The sequence below is a fragment of the Homo sapiens genome, chromosome 1 (genome assembly GCF_000001405.40).
Source record: "Homo sapiens chromosome 1, GRCh38.p14 Primary Assembly".
In the NCBI taxonomy this organism is placed as follows: Eukaryota; Metazoa; Chordata; class Mammalia; order Primates; family Hominidae; genus Homo; species Homo sapiens.
In genome coordinates this window covers 66,904,062-66,924,981 of record NC_000001.11, presented here as the reverse complement: position 1 = coordinate 66,924,981, position 20,920 = coordinate 66,904,062, and the positions used below count along the sequence as shown (strand labels likewise).

The window sequence follows — 20,920 nt, the reverse complement described above, 5'->3', positions numbered from 1 at the left end:
GGCCGCCCGCCTCCTTCTTCCAGTCGTCGTCCGGAGCTTCCTCCAGCTCCACCAACCCTCTGCCCTCCCCTCCGCCTCCGCCCTCCTCCTCGGCCTCGTGCCGCCAGCCAACCGCGCGGCCGCTTGTTGAGCCAGGGCTCCACCGTCGCCATGACGCCCGGCAAACATTCCGGAGCCTCGGCCCGAGCCGCTAACGGAGGAGCTTGGGGGTACAGGGACTTCAGAGGCGGCCAAAAAAAGGGGTGGTGCACCACTCCCCAGCTGGTCGCCACCATGCCAGTCTCTCCGGCAGGCAGTCACAAGCAGCAGAACTTCGGGTTGTAAGTTCCGGCGCTAAAAACCGTAGTCCATCCCCCTGGGACCCGGAGGGAGCCCTTCTATTAATAGATACCATTTCTGGATTTGGAAAGGGGCCCTACCCTAACTGGGTTCAGTCTGTAGACCTTGAAGCTCCTAGGCCACAATGTCTCCTTTATCGACCTACCGCAGTCTTTAAAAGAATCTCTACTGGGCTGGGCGCGGTGGCTCACACCTGTAATCCCGGCACTTTGGGAGGCCGAGTGGGGTGGATCACCTGAGGTCAGAAGTTAGCGTCCAGGCTGGCCAACATGGTGAAACCCCGTCTGTACTAAAAATACAAAAAGTTAGCCGGACGTGGTGGCACATGCCTGTAATCCCAGCTACTTGGGAGGCTGAGGCAGGAGAATCCCTTGAACCCGGAAGGCGGAGGTTGCAGTAAGCCGAGATCGTGCCGTTGCACTCGAGCCTGAGCAACAGAGCGAGACTCTGTCTAAAAAATAAGATAAAATAAATCTCTATTGCTGTGCTTGCTGTGTGAGAAAAGACCTGGTTTAGAACCATCGTTCTAGCACTTCTAGTTTGTTAAGGCCTGCAGTCTCTCAAGCTTGATGCTTTCATGCTGTGCCCAGACGTTCAAGAGCCTCAGCTTCTGTGAGCCACCAGGCCGAACATTGCTGTGCTCTGTAGTAGAGGTATTTTATTGTCGTCTCGTCAATACCATCTTACTTTAAAACTAATTCCTGCTTCCAACATTCTGTTGTTATGCAGCAGTTGAACAAGACTGTAGAAAAGCACACAGCTGTGTGGACTTGTCTTACTTTAAATGGTTCCTTAGCGCTGCCCGTAATGCTGCCCACTAAGTTCCCCCAAAATTCCCTAAGTAATTTGTTTTCTCTTCCCCTCTCCAATCTCCTCCACCTCAGCTAATCTTTCTTCAGCGGAACTTGTTGAGAGTTCTTGGGAGAGAACCTTGCATTCTCTCTTGAATATGGTACTCACGCTTTTGTCCATCCTACCACTCCATCAAAACAGCTTCTATGAAAGCCAGCAATAGCCATGCAACCAAATACAATGGCTGATCCACAGTTTCATTCTTTTTGAATGAAGCAGTGTCGGTCGGGTTTATCGCTTCTCGATCTTTGAAAAGCTTTATTTGGGTTCTGAGAAACCACTCTTCCTAGTTCTTGTCTTGGTTCATGGTTTCACCTTTCCCAGATCCTTTGCTGGTATCTGTTCCTCACTACCATAACTAAATACAGTCATGCATCGATGGTGATACCTTCTGAGAAATACCTTGTTAGCCAATTTCAGCATTTTGCAAATATCTTCTAGTGTACTTACACAAACGTAGATGTATGGGCTACTATACACCTAGGCTACAATTGTATAGTAGACTGTACACCTAAGCTATAGTAGGCTATACATCTAGGTTTGTGTAAGTACACTAAATGGTGTTTGCATAATGATGAAAATGCATTTGTTGCTTCTAGGCTACCAACCTGCATAGCATGTTACTGTACTGAATACTGTAGGCAATTGTAACACAATGCTAAGTATTTGTGTATGTAAACATAGAAAAGGTAATGTCTTGTGCTTGAATGTTGTGACAACTACAACGTTGTTAGACAATAGGAATTTTTCAGCTCTGCTACCAGATCACCATTGTATATGTGATTCATTGTTGATGATCCAGGACTGTATTGGTATTGCTGGGTTAGTCCATAAACCTCTTCACTCTGATGTCTTTAATATCACCTATAATGATGATTCACAAATGTTAATCTCTGGCTAAGACCTCTCCCAAGAAAACAGATTTTAAGAAAAAACACCTGCACTTATAAGTTAATAAACATCTCAAACCAAATATATAATATTTTCTGTCTTTTCTAATTAACTGCAATCTTTCTCATTTTAGTAAATGGCAAATTCCACTCTTTCACTTACTCAGGGGAAAAACCTTGGGATTACCCTTGACTTCTATCTTATACCTCACTCTATAAGCAAATTTTACCATTTCTACCTGCCAAATAAATCCAGACTACCACTCCCATGTAAATCACTGTGTTACATTGTGATACCCACCTAAATAGTCTCCTTGCCAACACCCTCCAGGTAGTAATCAATGTGGTTCTGCTCAAAACATTTCTCAAGTTTTTTCCATTTCACTCAGTAAAACTCTTTACAGGGCCCCACAGGATCTCACTATAGACTCTTCCTCTTGCCTAATTACATCCCACGTTGTCCCACAACACATCAGACACACTATATTCCCCCTTTGGAGCCTGTGCATATGCAGTTTTTTGGAATATTGTGCCCCCAGATAACCTCATGACTCACCTCCTTTAGGTAACTGTGTCAAAGAGTCCTTTACCACCCCATATAAAGTAATAATACTTCACCTTTGGAGCTCTTCAGTCCCTCACCTTTGCTTGAATTTTTCCATAAAATTTATTCCTGCCAGGCACAGTGGCTCATGCCTGTAATTCCACCACTTTATGAGGCTGAAGTGGGCAAATTGCTTGAGCTTGGGAGTTCACAACCAGTGGGCAAATTACTTGAGCTTGGGAGTCCACAACCAGCCTGGGCAACATGGCAAACCCCCATTTCTACAAAACATTGAGCCAGGCGTGGTGGCATGTGCCTGTAGTCCTAGCTACTTTGGAGGCTGAGGTGGGAAGATTACTTGAGACCGGGAAGGTGATGTTGTAGTGATCCGTGATCACTGCCATTGTACTCCAGCCTGGTCGACAGAGTGAGATTCCACCTCAAAAAAAAAAAAAAAAAAATTTCTACAAGTTTATTGTGTACCTGCTTATTCATCCATCTTCACCTAAGGATAGTACTCCAAAAAGGCAGAGATTTTTGTTTTGTTCACTACTGTATCCATTGCCTAGATTGAAGAAGGTGCTGAATAAATATTTGCTGAATGAATGAGTGTTTACTTCAGTAACATTGGTTACTGCTTATCTTGTATGGTTTTTGTTTTCACCTTAAGGTATAGAAATTTTAATGTAAAATTAAATTGAGTTTATTAAATTGAAAAATACAAAAACTGTCCAACTCTCATAGTATGATGTCTAAGAAAAATTCCTTTGGGAGTTTCTTAAATGTTGACAATTTCATAACATCTATTAAGGAAAGAATGGGGTGGGAGACGGGAAGTAGTATAACCTTCACTTTTTGCAGTAGCCATGTTACCTAATTAAAACGAAGTTTCACAGACAAGTTTACAACCTTTTGGTTTGGCCTAATTTGTTATTTCTCATCTTCCTTCTTTTAGGACTTAATCCTGACCTTGGAAAGGATCTCATGAAGCAAATATTTGTCAGTTTTCCACTTTCTCTTTTCCTGTGTTAGATTCTTGCCTTTAGCTTTACAATACTGGACAAGTCTCCCATTGCAATAAAAATAACTGCTGATTGTTCACCTCTTCATCCTATTTCTCTGTCCAGTGCCTTTATATTCCTTACATGTTCTTGTTTCCTTTTGATTCTTATTTAATGTTTTTATCTCTGCTTACATTACTCACCTGTTCTTGAATGTTATCCATTTTTTCCATTAGAACCCTTAGCATATTAATCACAATTATTTTAAATTCATAGTCTTACAGTTACAAAATATCTGTCATATCCAAGTGTGGTTCTGATACTTGCTTTGTCTCTTCACACTGTTTTTGTACCTTTTGATATGCCTTACAATTTTTTGTTGAAAGCTGAACATATTGTATAGATAATATGAACTGAGATTAAATAGGCTGATAGTGTGTTTTATGTTTGTGTGGCTAGGAATTAGGCTGTGTTTACTGTTTAGTTGTAAATGTGTAAGGCATCAGTTTCCTCTACTGTCCTTGTTTCTGTCTTTTACAGTTTCCCTAGGGACTCCTTAAATAGATTCAGCCTTGCAGTTCTTTCCATTGTAATCTAATTATTATACAGGAGCCCTGTAGATATGGTGGTGAAGCAGGATAGTGACTCCTTCACAGGTGGGAACTGGAGTGTGCAGGCGCTGGCAGGGGTGAACTCCACTCACTCGCTGCTCCACCCCTTGAGGGAGGTGGAGCACAGGTGAGTGGGTGCAGGAGCCAGGGTGAGTGCTTTTGGGCACCTTCAAGAGCAAACTACATACTCACTCCCCAACAGTATCTAGGGGAGGGTATCCACGATGCCCAAAACCCCAGAGGAGGTGTTATAGTGCCCTTTTAGCTTTGCCATCTACAGACAGCGTAAGTGTTAACAGCTCAGTGGAGGGTCAGCATGACAGCCTTTTGCACCCACACTCGTGGCACCTGAGTTCTTGTCCAGTGTCCAGGAGGAATGAGGTCGCATGAGAGTTGAAGCTGGTAAATGCAGGGGATTTTATTGTGTGAAAGTGGTTCTCAGTGGGAAGAGGAGCTGAAAAGGGGACAGAACGGGAAGGTAATCTTCCCCTGAAGTTCAGCCGTCCCCAGCCAGATTCCTCTTCAAAGCTACACCATCAAGCTGTCCCTCTGAAGTCAAGCCACTTCTCTCTGACTTCCAACGTCCAGCTGCTTCTCTTTCTGCTGGCTGAGCCTGGGGTTTTTATGGGTGCAGGATAGTGGGACAGGGCGGGCCATGGGTGGTTTTGAAAAGGCAGCATTCAAGCAGGAAAACACAGATGTATGTTCTCACTTTGGGCCATGATTCCAGGCTTGAGGGTGGGGCCCTCGCCAGGGACCTGCCTTCTTCTGCCCAGAATTTCCCTGCTTCCTATTCCTATCAGTGGGAAGATGTAGGGGGAGGGGAAGGGTTGGACAATCCTATGATTAGCTCTTAGTGTTTTAATGGGCCCTTGTCCCTGGGATGAGACTTGACAAGTGCTTTTCAGTACATTTTTTCTTTGGGGTGAAAAGATGGCTGTTGGGGGCCAGAGTTGGGTATTTCCATTCCCACATGTCAGTCAGGCCCTGATAAAACTCTAGTTAGGCTCTGGTAAAGTAGTTGTCCTTGAGGGCAGGTGTTTGTTAAGGAGAACATAACATTCTAGGTATATTTTAGAAAGATTACTTCCTATCCACCTGCTAGAACCATGAGGAAATTTTTCTTTAATCTTTATCCTGAGAACTTTGTGGGCACATGGAGGTAAAGCTCATGAAAGTGTAGGGGCCCCCCATGGGATCCCCAGAATATTTTCTCTCTCAAGCTAGTCTACACTCAAGTCTTCAGTAGTTAGCTAGTTGTCTTTTAAGTTGCTGGCTTCAGTGGCATTTTCTGCTCCCAGTAGGTTGTGATTCTCTGTTTTCAACTTGTCTCCAATTTCCAAGGTAGGTGTTTGTTCTCCTTAAATAGAGGAAGAACTGTTTTATGAGTTAATGTGAGATTATTTTATTGTGCATATATTCACTTTGAGATGGCTGTTAGACTAGAGCTATCTAGTAGTCAATTATTCACATGAGTATGTGAACCTGAGAATTTGAGACAGGTCTCAGTTAATTTAGAAAGTTTATTGTGCCAAGGTTCAGGATGTGTACCCGTGATACAGCCCCAGGAAGTACTGGCAACATGTGCCTAAGGTGGTCAGGGCATGTCTTTGTTTTATACATTTTAGGGAGGCATGAGACATCAATCAATATATGTAAGAAGTACATTGGTTCCATCCAGAAAGGCAGGGACAACTTGAAGCAGGGAGGGGGCTTCCAGGTCACAGGTAGGTGAGAGACAAATGGTTGCATTCTTTTGAGTTTCTGATAAGCCTTTCCAAAGGAAGCAATCAGAATATGCATCTATATCAGTGAGCAGAGGGATGACATTTAATAGAATGGGAGGCAGGTTTGTCTTGAGCAGTTCCCAGCTTGAATTCTCCCTTAGCTTAGTAATTTTGGGGCCCAAAATATTTTCCTTTTACATTTCCCCCATTTCTTTTTAAAAAAATCTTTTGGAGAAAACATTTTAGAAGAAAATGAGTCTCTGGTCTCAGGTTTTATCTGATCTCTCATGGCTAGGACAGTTTGTTCCTAGATGGGTTAGGTCCCAAAGCTCATTTTTAGCAGATTGTGAAGTCTCATGTCCTATGAAGAGGAAACGGGAGGAAGGGAGAAAAACAACAAAAGAACAACCCTGGAAAAATTGATATAGGCTATATTACTCTGAAGTCCATACATCAGTAAGTAGGTATGAAAGTGGCTTATGTATGTAAATAGGTTGCTGTTTATTTTCTTCTGAAGTTTAAGTTGTCTGGCTTCAGTTCACAGGGCTTTAAGAAAGCACAGCTTAGTTTTCAGTGACTCCAACTTAGGAAAAATGGGGCAAAAAAGAAGGAAGAAAATTGAAAACATTATTTTGAAGACTTGTGGCCAAGAAAAATTAGAATTTGGTCCAAACTGTAGAAAATAATAAACATTGAGAAAACATTAGGAAAGACTAGAATCTAACAACAGGTCTACTATAGTTTTGAAACATAATTTTTCTCTCCAGTTTCCCATTTTTACTAAAGACAAATCATGGTACGACTGGTTTGCTTTATTATACTTGGCCTAATTATTTCTATACAATGCAACAAGAAAATTTTTACATAGGCTTTTAAACTGGCTTTTTTGGACTTTCATAGGAGAAATCTCAAATAAGACTCTTTTAAAGCCAAGCCCAGCCATGGATTTATGCAATCAAATACCTATGAGTTGGGTGAATTTCCTCTCCTCTTGAGGTTCCAAGATAAACCTGAGGCTTCTGGGCCTGTCAGAAAGTGACATTCTTCACTTAACACAGGTCAGAAACCCTGTACAGGGACTATGTACACAAAATATGAGGCCAGTTTTTCCAAGGGCTTTATTGGTTCCATAAGTCACGTTTGATTCCTTAAAGGAAAGCACACTATTTCAGTCAAAGCCTTGGTAAAATAACCAATTTCTCCAATTGTATCCTGTTACGAATTAAAACAGATTCTTATTGCACTTGTGCAAATGACTGTATTACCATAAGTTAAGAATACTCACAAATATTTCCAAATTCTGGAGAAATCAGGTAGTGAAAAACAAATATGCTCAAAATTTTGTTCATAGGAGTATACTAAACTCTTAAAAGCTGTCAATAGCTCAAAAGAAAAGTTTGAAGACTAAAAAACAAAGGATAAGCAACATTTAAAGCAAGAGTTAAAAAGATTGCTTTAGTCTCTTGTCAGTTCAGTTTATGGAGTTAACTCCTGTTCTGCTTGATAGTCATGAACACTTCAGCTCTCCATGAGAATCCTGCAAGTTTTTTTCCCCCTCTATTCTAATGTCACAATCTGCAAAGTTATCAGAAACTTGCATTTAAGAACACCTGTTTGAGTTCCATAGTTGATTATAGAACCACCTAAAAAGGACCAAAACAAGACAACAATTGTCCATGGATGACAAAAATTTTAGGGCAGCCATAATCAAAGACACAATTGACAAATGTGTTACCTCTGTGGCACACAATAATTTAACAACAATTACAATTACTGATAACGTTCACTAAGTTAAATCAGAATTACAGGAGTTTCCCATCATTTTGGAACACATACCAATAACATTTATACAAATATAGCCCAAAGAAAACCAAACATCATTTCATATTTGACAATGCTCCCTGTCTAATTTTTATACCAAATAAGCCAAATTATGTCATTTTTGGACTTTAGGGGACCTAATATCTTAAAGGATTAATTAGGTCAGGAAAAGACAATTTATAAATTGATTTTGGAAAGTTTGTAAAATATCAAAGGTTTAAAAGACTTGATACCATGAAATAGGATCATAGGTCATTGTAAAATAAGTCATTCATTTAACCAAAGTGATAAGGAATTAAAAAAAAAAGGCAAAAATCTTCATTCTTTGAGAAAGGAGACATAATTTTCTGAACAAGCCCTAATTAAAACAGCATGAAGCCAATTAAATTTATTTTTCAAAATTTTATAAACTATAAAATTTTAATTTTGACCATAACATAAAGCAATACAGCTTCCAAATGCCTTTTATAACCTTTATTAAGGAGTTGGTTAATGCTTCAAGAAAACCCTGTTAATCTGACACAGGGGCCCATATACTGGTCTTGCATCAGTGTGCCTTTGACAGTAATGATTATAGAGAAACTGAACTTATTTTATCTCTTAAAAGCAGCCCTTAAAATCCCACATTCCAACCTCTTTCACAACAGTCACGGGACCTTGAAGAGTTGAATGGCTTTAATTATTGGCCCTGTGTCTCAGGGATGCCGTTTATTTTGATTAGCATCTTCTATGGGGCCTGGAGATAAGGCTTTAATTGCTGTCAGTGTTAAGATTTAGCAGGACTTGTCCTTTTAGACCCAGGAGTCAAAACCCTGTAACTTAATGTCACAAGTACTTTAGGAGTAGATACAGAAAGATACATGGATGTAATAACCTTAATTTAAAAAAAATTTAATCTCAATTTCTTTATTTGTAAGCAAAGCAAAACAATATGACAACTTGATCATATAAAAGTTTTTTTTAAAATAAATCCTCTTTTGTGATTTACACTGATTATTCATGATATGCTTGAACTTTCTGGTTTGTCCTGAACATCCCTCCTTCTTAAACAACCAGTCATTTTATTTTAGGACTAAATTTACCATATGGGATTCTTTTTTTTTTTTTTTTTTTAGACAGAGTCTTGCTCTGTTGCCCATTCTCCACCTCCTGGGTTTAAGCAATTCTCCTTTCTCAGTCTCCCAGGTAGATGGATTATAGGTGCACACCACCACACCTAGCTAATTTTTGTATTTTTAGTAGAGATGGGGCTTCGCCATGTTGGCCAGACTGGTCTCAAACTCCTGGCCTCAGGTGACCTGCCCACCTCAGCCTCCCAAAGTGTTGGATTACAGACGTGAGCCACTGTGCTTGACCAAAGATTTTTTTTCTCATATAAAATTATTCTCTTTAAGCTTTCTTACCACACAAAAACCTGTTTATTTTTATAACTTTCTTTACATTTCTGTTATTTCCTGGTTCCTTTTACCTTGTTTTATATATAACCTTTAAATAAACTTTGAATTAGACAAAACTTGTTCACCGTTTTTTTAAAATGATACACTCTTTGTTATTTTTACCAAGAATGTTTTTCTACAATATAAACTTTTTGGAAAATAAATAATGAAATATCAATTATTGAATTTAATATAACCTTAGATTCTAAATTATGACAAGTTTGTCTACAAGTATTTATTCCATTACATTTACCTAATTATTTTAATTGTTTACCTATATGACCTATGAAAACTGCAGTAGTCATGATTTAAAGTTATGAAACCGCCATTGCAAAATTATAACTGAGACAGTGAAAAAGATATGACCTAACTGACTCCATCTTGCTTCTAACCTCCAAGCTGTCCTTGTTCATTCCTGGGCACAGGCAAAAGTAACTTTGGGAGGTACTTAGTTTATAGTTTAGCTTTGAAACAAAGATGATAACAGTTCTTTCCCAAAACAAACCTCCTTATTGCCTGTGGACTAGAATGCCTAAAGCCACAGGTTTAGAAGTTATGGTAATCTTACTAAATAATTCAAGATGAGCTATTTTCATTAAGCCAATATTAATGTCTTATTTATTAAAGATTACAGAGCAAAGGTCATTCTGTCTTGGGCTGGGTTTATGGTTTTATAAACCCTTTGCCAAATTTTGACACCTTATAGTATTTGTCAGGGATAAGTATGAAATTGCTTGATTAATAAATGCAAACAAAATGTATGCTGGCAATTCTTAGGACATTTCTAATGTTACTTTACCAGTAATTTTAAAGCTAGCTTATTTATTAAAGATTTTACTTAAGTTACATAAACTCGAAAAAGCATTTGACTAGTCTTTTCCTTTTTAGTACCTGATTTAAGTGCTTTTATTTTTAAGCCAATTAATTAGAGCTCTTTTATATATTTTTAGTAGTGAAACATTGTGTACACAACACATAGATACATAGACATATTAGGCATGCAAATAGAAGGACATTTTATAGGTTCATAAAAACCTTTTTTTTTTCATTTTTTCCTATCTTAGATTTTCTGATTCTTGATAACCTGTTTCACAACCCTGGGCAGTTGTCAGCTAAATAGCCTTAAATGTGCATGTTAAAGGAAACAACTCAGGTGAAAGTCAGATAGCAAAATTTACATTATAAGATGCGGAGAGAAAAAGTTTTATGTGCTAGAAGGAAATGAAAACGGATTTAATTGCCATTAAACATAAAATTGTAGAAATTATAAAAGTCTTTTTAATGCACATACACACAGATTCTATAGCTTTTACTTCAGAACTTTTAGCCACGAGATAAATACAAATTCACTGGCTTGCTAAAAGAACTTGTTGGATCAAAACTGGTTTTTATCTTAACAGAAAAGTAACAGCAGATTTAGAGCAGGCAGAAAAGGAAAAAAAATAGAGAAAAAGAGGACTTAGGAACTCTATAGTTTGCAGGTTGACCTTGTAAATGTGCACAAAGACCATATTATTTCCATTTTACGTATACTTTGGCAAGTAGAGGTGCCGTGAAACCTATGGAATGCTAGAAAGATGCATTCTGCTTGTTTTCACCTCACTCTTAGATTATTTATTTCCCACTTTTTATTTTTTTATTTTTATTTTTTTTCTAAAGGAGGAACAGAGCTGTGGCCTGGGGTTTTTGTGTGGTGGATTGATATGTGCCGTTTGTGGACAGGACTCCACTGTGTGTCACCACTGAGTCGTTTCCACCTTCTTTTTTTTTTTTTTTTGAGACGGAGTTTTGCTCTGTTGCCCAGGCTGGAGTGCAGTGGCGCGACCTAGGCTCACTGCAACCTCCGCCTGCTCCGGGTTCACACCGTTCTCCTGCCTCAGCCTCCCGAGTAGCTGGGACTACAGGTGCCCGCCACCACGCCTGGCTAATTTTTTGTATTTTTAGTAGAGATGGGGTTTCACCATGTTAGCCAGGATGGTCTCGATTTCCTGACCTCGTGATTCGCCCGCCTCGGCCTCCCAAAGTGCTGGAATTACAGGCATGAGCCACTGCGCCCGGCCTCCACCTTCTTACTGTGTCTCAGTTTCTCTCTCCAGAGGTCTGTGACCTCAGAGAGGGCTCAAAATGCTGGGTCATTAGCCCTTATATATATTTCCTGGGCAAGCCATTTTTAAAATTAATTTTTGTTGGGGATTTCCCTGCAGGGCCACAATTGCCCAGATACTTCCACGAGGTCCCAGGGTACCCAGGGGCACCTTTCAGTTTGGAGGAGCAAATGCCCTTTTCCTTTGGAGCTGAGAAAACTCAGTCTCTCATTAACATATGAAAACAACAGTTCAGTTCCTCATCCAAATGCACACAGACAAACCGAATTAAGATTAAATTTGGGAGAAAAAGCAATAAAGACTTTGTAGAATGCATCTTTGAACTAGAATTAGGATCCTTAAACAGCAACTTCAAACCAGAACAAACAACAACAAAAATCCCCAACAACATCATCACTGAGCACTCTAATTGTGAGGAGAAATTAAGACCAGCTGGTTGTTAATCTTAACTTGAGCCAAGGAAAACCCCAAGTCAGTTACTTACCTAGGGATGGGTCTCAGGCTGAAGACTGCTTTCTACCATCTTAGAAGCAGGAAAGAAAAAACAAACAAACCAAAAAACCCTCATTTTCCCTGTTGGAAGCAAGCTCAAACTCCATAAAGGAGTTACCTGCCTTCCATCGTCACGGAAGCAGGAAAAACTTGCCATTCTTGTGTTGGAAGCAAGTAAAACTCCAAAAAAAAGGGAGTTGTACAGCAAAATAAACTTTAGATCCCTAGCAAATTTTGGGAGATCAGGGATTCTCTGAAGGGGGTGCTCTCAGACCTCAGCAAATGGTCCTATTGGTTTGAGCCATAAAGTTAGCTCATGCTGTTAACAAGCACTGATAGGAAATTTGTCAAAGGTCAGGGGCATCCACGTTCAGAATCCCTTCGTGGTTACCAAAATGTGAACCCCAAAAATTTGAGACAGGTCTCAGTTAATTTAGAAAGTTTATCTGGCCAAAGTTGAGCATGCGCGCCCGTGACTCAGCCTCAGGAAGTCCTGGAAACATGTGCCGAAGATGGTTGGAGCACAGCTTGGTTTTATACATTGTCGGGAGGCATGAGACATCATTCAGTATATGTAAGAAGTACATTGGTTCCATCCAGAAAGGTGGAACAACTTGAAGCAGAGAGAAGGCTTCCAGGTCACAGGTAGGTGAGAGACAAATGGCTGCAGTCTTTTGAGTTTCTTTTTTTTTTTGAGACACAGTCGCACTCTGTCGCCCCAAGCTGGAGTGCAATGGTGTGATCTTGGCTCACTATAGCCTCTACCTCCCAGATTCAAGCGATTCTCCTGCCTCAGCCTCCCGAGTAGCTGGGATTACAGGTGTGTCCCACCACACTCAGCTAATTTTTTTTTTTTGTAGACATGAGGTTTCCACATGTTGGCCAGGCTGGTCTGAAACTCCTGACCTCAAGTAATCTGTTCCCAAAGTGCTGGGTTTACATGTGTGAGCCACCGTGCCCGGCTTCATTCTTTTGAGTTTCTGATAAGCCTTTCCAAAGGAGGCAATCAGAAAATGCATCTATCAGCTGGGAACGCTGGCTTATGCCTGTAATCCCAGCACTTTGGGAGACCAAGGCGGGCAGATCCTGAGGTCAGCAGTTTGAGACTAGCCTGACCAATGTGCCAAAAACCTGTCTCCACTGAAAATACAAAAATTAGCTAGGTGTGGTGATACAGGCATATAATCCCAGCTACTTGGGAGACTGAGGCAGGAGAATCACTTGAACCTTGGAGGCAGAGGTTGCAGTGAACCAAGATTGAGCCACTGCACTCCAGCCTGGGCAACAGAGTGAGACTCTGTCTCAAAGAAAAGAAAAAAATATGCATCTATGAGCAGAGGGATGACTTTGAATAGAATGGAAGGCAGGTTTATCCTGAGCATTTCTCAGCTTGACTCCTTCCTTCACAAGTATGAAGAGTAAGGCAATATTTTGAGTTGGATATAATGATTTGGAGATTATTCATTGTTTCAATAAATGTATTAAACAGCCACTGTATTATGTACTGTGATATTGTAAAATAAATATTTATTTGGTCTTTGATCAAATGGTCCTTAGAATCTCCAGAGTGTTGTCTTTTTGTATGCTAATGAGTTGACCATGACTAGTACCTTCTAGGTAGCTTGAGGATGGGGGTTAGTCATCTGGAAGACAAAAGCATGATTATAGGGTTGGGACCTTCAGCCTCACCAACCAAACCTTCAGGGAGGGGAAAGAGGCTGAATGTTAAGTTGATCACCAATAGCCAACAGTTTCATCAATCATGCCTTCTTAATAAAACCTCCATAAAAACCAAAAGGACTGGGTTCAGAGAGCTTCTGGATAGCTGGGCACATGGAGGTTTCTAAAAGGTGGTGTGCCCAGAGAGAGCATGTAAGCTACTGGCTCTTCCCTTGCCGTATGCATCTTTTAATCTGTATCCATTGTAATATACTTTACAATAAACCAGTAAAAGTAAGTGTTTCTCTGAGTTCTGTGATCCACTCTAGCAAATTAACTGAACCCAAGGAGAGGGTTGTGGGAACCCTGATTTTATAGCAGGTCATTCAGAAACAGGCCACAACCTATTTTTTCAACTGCCATTCGAAGTCAGAGGTAGTCTTATGGGACTGAGCTCTCTGCCTGTAGGATCTGAGACTATCTTCAGGTAGATAGTGCTGGAATTGAATTGGAGGACAACCAGATGGTATCCACTGCGGAACTGATTGTTTAGTTGGTGTGTGGGGAGAAACCCTACGCATTTGGCCACAGAAATCTGTATTGATTGTTGTGGTTTGAGAGCAGAGCAAAAACAGTTTATGTTTTTTCCACACTTGGGTACTGTTGTAAGCATTAGGGATACAACAGGGAATGAAAGAGCCTAAAGTTCCTACCCTCATGGAACTTAGATTCCAAGGGGAAGCAATAACTGATTCACAAGATAAATAAGTTAAAGATATACTATGTTAGATAGTAAAAAGTTCTAAGGAGAAAAATAAGGCAAGAAGATATGAAGTACTTGAGAGAGAATTTTGACATTTTAGAAAGGGAAGCCACGGAAGGCCTGAGGCACAGGGGCTGCGCCTGTTGTTCTGGCATTTGGCCATGGAGTGATTAGGGCAGGTGGGGAGAGGGTAGTTTTTCATTAAAGACCTAAAGAAAGTGAGGATGCTAAGTATGTACCTGTATGAGAAAGAGCATTTCAGACAAAGGAAACATAAATTCAAGTCTTTGATATGAAAATGTGCCCAGCATGAATATAAAGGATGCCACTATGGCTGAAGCAGAGTAAACAAGGAAGAGATCACGAAAGATGAAATCAGAGGCCTAGCTGTATGCATGTAAGATTTTTTAAGTCATAGTAAGGACTTAGGCTTTTATTCTGAATGGGATGGTAAATGAAGGATTTCGAGTAGTCATATTTTATTTTATTTATTTTTATTTTATTTTATCTTATTGTTCTATATTTGTTTGAGACAGGGTCTCGCTCTGTTGCCCAGGCTGGAGTACAGTGGCATAATCATAGCTCACTGTAACCTTGAACTCCAGACCTCAAGCAATCCTCCTGTCTCAATCTTCCAAAGTACTGGGATTACAGGCATAAGTCACTGTGCCCAACCCTTACATGTGTTTTAAAGAGGTCATTGTGGTTGTTACGTGGAGGATAAACTTTAGGGGATCAAGGTTAAGTAGGAAGATGAAGCGAAAGGCTATTGCAATAATCCAAGAGAGATAGGATAGTGTTTGGACCAGGATGGTAGCAACAAGAGTGGTGACAAATGAATGGATTCCAGATGTATTTTGAAATTTTTTTTCACCCAAGCAACTGGAAGAGTAAAGTTGCCCTTAACAAAAATAGGGAAGAGTGCAAGAGGAGTGGATTTGCTGGATGGGGTGAGGGTGATGTGGTGGTGGTGGTGGTGGAGGTTAATGTCAGGAACTTAGTTTTGGACATGCTAAGTTTCCATTAGTGATGTCAAGTAGGCAAGCAGATATACAGAGGAGAGGTCTAGTTAGAGATATACATATATTTGGGAATAATTTTCACATAGATTACTTTTAAATCATGGCATTAGATGAGTTAACCAGACTATGAATGTAAATAGAAAAGAGAAGTGCAAGGATGATTGCCACAGAAAAGGGAGGAGGAAAACCAAGCAAAGAGAGTGTCCTACGATCCAAGTTAAAAAAAAAAAAAGAGAAAAGAATAAACAGCTGGGTCAAATGCTGCAGATAAGAAAGATGAAAACATTGAAATGACCATTATTAGAGTTAGTATTGTGGAGGTGATTGGACCTTGGTAATAATCCTTTTGATGGAATGATAAGGGCAAAAACCTGATCAGACTCTATTCAAGAGAGACTGTGTGTGTGTGTGTGTGTGTGTGTGTGTGTGTGTGTAGAGAGAGGTGGCAACAATAAATAGGAGATTTTTCCCAAGGGTTTGCTGTAATTAAAGGAAACATGAATGACTGATAGCTGGAAAGACAGGTGAAGTAAAGAGAAGTTTCTTGTTTGTTTAAGATGGGAGAAATAACAGCTTGTTTACATGCTGAAGGTAATTATCCAATAGAGAGAGAAAAACTTATGATGCAGAGAGAGAACTGCTAGAGCAATGTCCGTGAATAGGCAGAAAAATGGAATCTGGTATGCATGTAGAGGGAGTGACCTGAACTGCAATAATAGAGAATTCATTCAGAGTAACAAGAAAAAAATAGAGAATATAGGCACAGATATAGGCAAGTGCATAGATGTGACAGTGGGAGTATGAAGAAGTTACCAGATTGCTTCAGTTTTCTCATTCAGATGGCTGAGAGTGAAAATGTGAGAGGAGGTTTTCATATTTGAAGAAAGAGAAGGTATAAGATAGCCTTAAAGAGTGTAGTAAAAAATGGACCAAGAAAATACAGATTGCTGGCACATTAAGGACCTTGATTAAGTTAATGACCCATAATTTAAAGTGAGACCTGTCATCATAGTTGGGTATTTTTCTTCCAGTTTCATTTAGCTGCACAGGTTGAGTTAAAATATAGTGTATTATTGCAAAATTTAGGGTATAGTTAGTCTAATAGATAGGAAGTCATTGCCATTGAAAAAATAGTTTATTATTCACAGTTCCAAGGAAGAGGGGGCCCACCACACCACAGGGGACTACCCAGAAGTAATGAGTGAAGCAGCATAGACAACTTTAAGATTAGCTACTTTGAATAATCTCAGTAGGTTCTGGGGCACAGGAGCTGCCCCTCTTGGTCTGAGATTTGGCCATGGGGTGATTAGGACAGGTATAGTGGCACAGAGTGTAAAAACCCCATAATGGTGTGGATTCTGGATTGCTTAGTTTGCATTTGACAAGTGCATGCCTGGGAGGAGGACTCCTCTTAGTAAAGAGGATGGGAGGCAAGAAGAGAGGCCAGAGGCCAAGACAAGGTAACTTAGGCATAGCATCAGGTTGTCCAGAATAGGGCATGTGTTTGACCCATGCATGTAGGTCAGATGTTACAGTATCAAATTTACAGACACTATAAACATGGTTAATATACAGGTATAGGCTCAAAGTAAGAGGATAATTGGAAATAACCATGATTTTGGTTTTGCCAGCAAGTATGCTGAAATGAAGGGAAAGGTATGGTAAGAATGTAAGTAAAGAATGATTATAATAATTAACTATCAATTAAAGTAACTAACCATAACCTCAAGAGGGAAGAGATGGCATGAGAAAGATGGTAGAGGAATAAAGCATGGTAGAATCAAGGGCCTGAAGGTCATAATAGGGTCGAAGGATTGTTGAAGGATTGGAGTTTGAGAGGGTATTTAAGCTGGAAAAATAGGAAATGCTGATTGACCTTCTAAAAACAAAAGCCACATGTATGACCATGGGAGTAAGTGTCTGAAGTAGCAAGGCAGGTAAAATCATTTATGTGAGAAGATTTCAAGGAGCTAAGAGGTCAGGGTATTTGAAGGATTACCTTCATGGATATTGAAATGCTCAAGAATTATGCCAGAAGTAGCTATTAGAGATAGAGCCAGTGACTTAGGATATGAAATCTTCAGAGGATGGTAGAAGAGAAAGGTAAATGCCATAAGAAAGTAGAGTACTTGTGGTCATTGAAACCATGGAATTTACTCAGGGATAGTGTATATAGTGAGAAATCAGGTAACTAAGATTTGAGCCTAAACGTAATCTGTAAAAGGGGAGCTCAAAGGAAAAGGGAATGGGAGGACCGGATTTTGTAAGGATAGTAGGGCAAAATGTTAAGGAGGAAGAGAATGAGAGAGTTGAAGGTAATGGCAAAAGAGTGACTCAATTGATAAATTGTGGATTAAAGATTAATAGAGAAAAGAGAAATCTAAAATGTTCTGATTATTTGGTAGAAATGGAAAGGTCAGGTGATTAGAGGTCTCAAGGAGGTTGAAGAATAGTCTGTGGTATGACAGAAACGAATCTGAGAAGTCAATTTTAAGAAGGAATGGTCAGCTGAAGAAGAAAGAGTAAAGCTACATTGTAGTTACAGAGCAAAAAGAGAAGTCATGTAGTAGGCAGTATTACTGACTAACATTTTAAGAAGTTGGACTGAAAGGAAGGAGAGATATAGTAATAGGTAGAGGAAGACATAGTTAAAGGAAGGATTTTCAAGTTGAGGAGATGATTGGGGCATAATTTTATGCTCACAGGGAAAAGAGAAAAAAATAAGATAGGAGACCTGGAATTATGGATGGAGAAGAGTCCCTGAGACACCAGTGACAAGTTTCAGAGTTCACATAAAAGGTTAGTCTTAGATAAGAATGGCAACTCTTTTACTGAGAAAGGAAAAAAGAGATAAGTGAGTTTGTAGGAGGTGGGAGAAGAATTTAAAGGAGGTGGTGAAATAATTTGAAGGAATTTTTACATGAATGATAGTTTATTTTTTTTTAGAGATGTTGGGGGTTAAGTCCTTAGAGATAGAAGGAGAATAGGGTAGGATACTTAAATGTAAATTTGAAATAGTGCACAAATGGAATTCATTTACTCATATATTTTAAAAATATTTATTAAGTGTCCATGGTATACTAGGCACTGTGCTGGGTGCTAGGGATACAGCAGTGAACAAGACAAAGTTCCTGCCCTAAACATGCTTACATTCTGCAGAGGGGTGGACAACAACAAAATGTCAAGTAACGATAAATGCTATGAAGAAAAATAAAATATGAAAACTGGATTGATCGTTATTTAAAAATATTTTATTCTTGTCAGATTTTTTATGATTTAAAAAGTAAATGTATTATTTAAAATGTTTTCTTTGGAAGCATATTTTTATAATCTCAGGGAGGCTCATCCCCATTTTATAGAAATCCATATTACAGAGTACTAGAAGGAATAAAATGATAAGGTAAGTCCTTGTCTTAAGGAATTTACAGGGTAAATCCAAAAGTGAAAAAATATTTTTTCATGGATATAAATATTTTGATTGTAACTTCTCTTCTTATTAAAAAGGGCACAGTGGCTCATGCCTGTAATGCTAGCACTTTGGGAGGCTGAGGTGAGACGATCACGAGGCCAGGAGTTTGAGACTAGCCTGGCCAACATGGTGAAACCCCTCTCTACTAAAAATGCAAAAATTAGCCAGGCATGGTGGTGCACACCTGTAGTCCCAGCTACTTGGGAGGCTGAGGCAGAAGAATCGCTTGAACCCAGGAGGCGGAGGTTGCGGTGAGCCGAGATCACGCCACTGCACTCCAGCCAGGGTGACAGAGCGAGACTCCGTCTCAAAAAAAAAAAAAAAAAAAAAAAGTAGTATATAATTCAGGAAGGAACACGCTATTCTTTCTCAGGCTTTATTAATCATGTTTAAATCTGCCTATGTAACTGCACTACACACTCATGTGTGCTTACTATGTGCCAGGGACTTACTAACCATAATACAAAAATTAATTTATTTAATCCTCATAATAACCGATGAGTTAAGTACTGTTATTATCCTCATTTTGCAGACAAAGAAACTAAGACCCAGAGAAGTCAGCATGGACTTAGGATCTGACTGCCTGGGTTCAAATCTCAACCATTGTAGGAATGTTTCCCCTTAAAGCCTCTGTGGCTTTATATAAAATAATATTAATAGCAACCTCTTGGAATTATGAGGAGAAAGTGATGTAATATATGCCAACTCTTTAGAACTATGTTTATACATAATAAGATTTCAAATAGTTATCATTATTTCTTGTTATATGTTTAGATTGTTCACATGTTTTTACAGGAAATCTACTTTTTTATTGTTGGTTGATTTTTCTTTTCAATCTTGAATCCTTTGCATTATATTTTATTTTTCTTATATAGGAACAATGCCACACAACCAAAGAAGTCTATTAGCTTTTTTGCTACAATGAAAGCAACTTCAGTGAAAGGATATACTGGTGCAAATCAAAGCAGAATGGCTGTGTCCAAAACCGTGCTTATTCCACCTGAACTGAAAACTGTAGAAAAACCAAATCCCAATATAAAGACAACACAGGTAATATTCTTAGAATTCTGAGTTTATTTGAAAATGGCACTGTGAAAAACTCAATTGAAATGTTAAAGATAGAAAATATGCTGCTTTCAGATAATCACTCATAATTTTGAAATACTGATTTTGTTAATTTTTACCACATATTATTCCATACAACATAATATTGACACTTGGCTCCTATAACTAGTTATTGATAAGAAGAATATTAGAGTGGAATGAGAAAAGTCTATTCATGACCTTAAGAACTATTTGCTTATGGTATTAATTATATACATTACAACTATCTTTCACTGTTGTCAGCAATATAGTCTTGAAAATACAATAAAATTATTTGTCATAAAGTCAGTTATTTTGCCTTACTAGAAGATTCATAATTAAGAATTGACTCTTTTAAACTTTTAATCAAATGATTATATATATACAGAAAAGCATATAATATATAATTTTGAATGGGTTCAGCATTTGTTTAGATGGGACATTAAAAGCAGAGTCCATAAAAGATAAAATTCATAAATTGGACTTCATCAAAATTAAAACTTTTTCTCTTTGAAAGACATTGATAACAGAATGCAAAGAAATGTGACACAATGGGGAGAATTATTTACAAAGCATATTTTGATAAAATATTTATAACTAGAATGTATAAACAACCTTCAAAGCAATATTGAGACAACCCAATTTTTAAAAATTAGCAAAATACTTGAGCTAACACTTCACCAGAGTAGATAAACAGATAGCATGGGAGCACATGAAAAGATGATCAGTATTAATTAAAAACCATACAATACTGCTAAGTACCTATTAGAATGGCTAAAATTAAAAGACTGATCATATCAAGTATTGACAAGTATGTGGAGGAACTAAAACTCTCACATGGCTGGTAGACATGGAAAATAGAAAACAATTATTTGTCAACTTATTAAATGTTAAAATATACCTACTATATCATCCAGCTATTCCATGTCTAGGTATTTACCAAGAGAAAAGAAAGCATAAGTTTATATAAACACTACTACATGAATGTTCATAGCACCTTTACATATAATGGCGGAAAACTAAAACAACTCTCATTTTATTAAACAAATACTATATATTTGCACATATGTATTTCACTTATTTATGTGTGTATATACACATATATA

At 38.8% G+C, this 20,920-nt stretch overlaps 1 protein-coding gene across 12 annotated transcripts in view, besides 2 other annotated features; it reads left to right on the top strand.

The window, feature by feature from the left end:
- Positions 4-123: a silencer, noted in NCBI's record as "silent region_973". NCBI's record gives its function as "represses an Ori minimal core promoter by ATAC-STARR-seq in GM12878 lymphoblastoid cells {active_cell/tissue: GM12878}" and the evidence as "EXISTENCE:reporter gene assay evidence [ECO:0000049][PMID:35858748]".
- Positions 126-20,920, top strand: part of DNAI4 (dynein axonemal intermediate chain 4) — a 111,972-nt gene continuing 91,177 nt past the window's right edge. For 10 of the 12 annotated variants that reach the window (XM_017002354.2, XM_047430752.1, XM_017002353.2 and 7 more), the window contains exons 1-2: positions 126-320; positions 19,607-19,781. In XM_017002354.2, the coding sequence (XP_016857843.1) occupies positions 151-320; positions 19,607-19,781 (345 nt within the window). In that variant the 5' untranslated portion in view covers positions 126-150. Of the gene's footprint in view, positions 321-17,967; positions 18,062-19,606; positions 19,782-20,920 lie in introns of those variants that run through there. The other 2 variants (XM_047430749.1, XM_017002355.1) reach the window with 2 other exon arrangements.
- Positions 264-423: an enhancer, noted in NCBI's record as "active region_1167". NCBI's record gives its function as "activates an Ori minimal core promoter by ATAC-STARR-seq in GM12878 lymphoblastoid cells {active_cell/tissue: GM12878}" and the evidence as "EXISTENCE:reporter gene assay evidence [ECO:0000049][PMID:35858748]".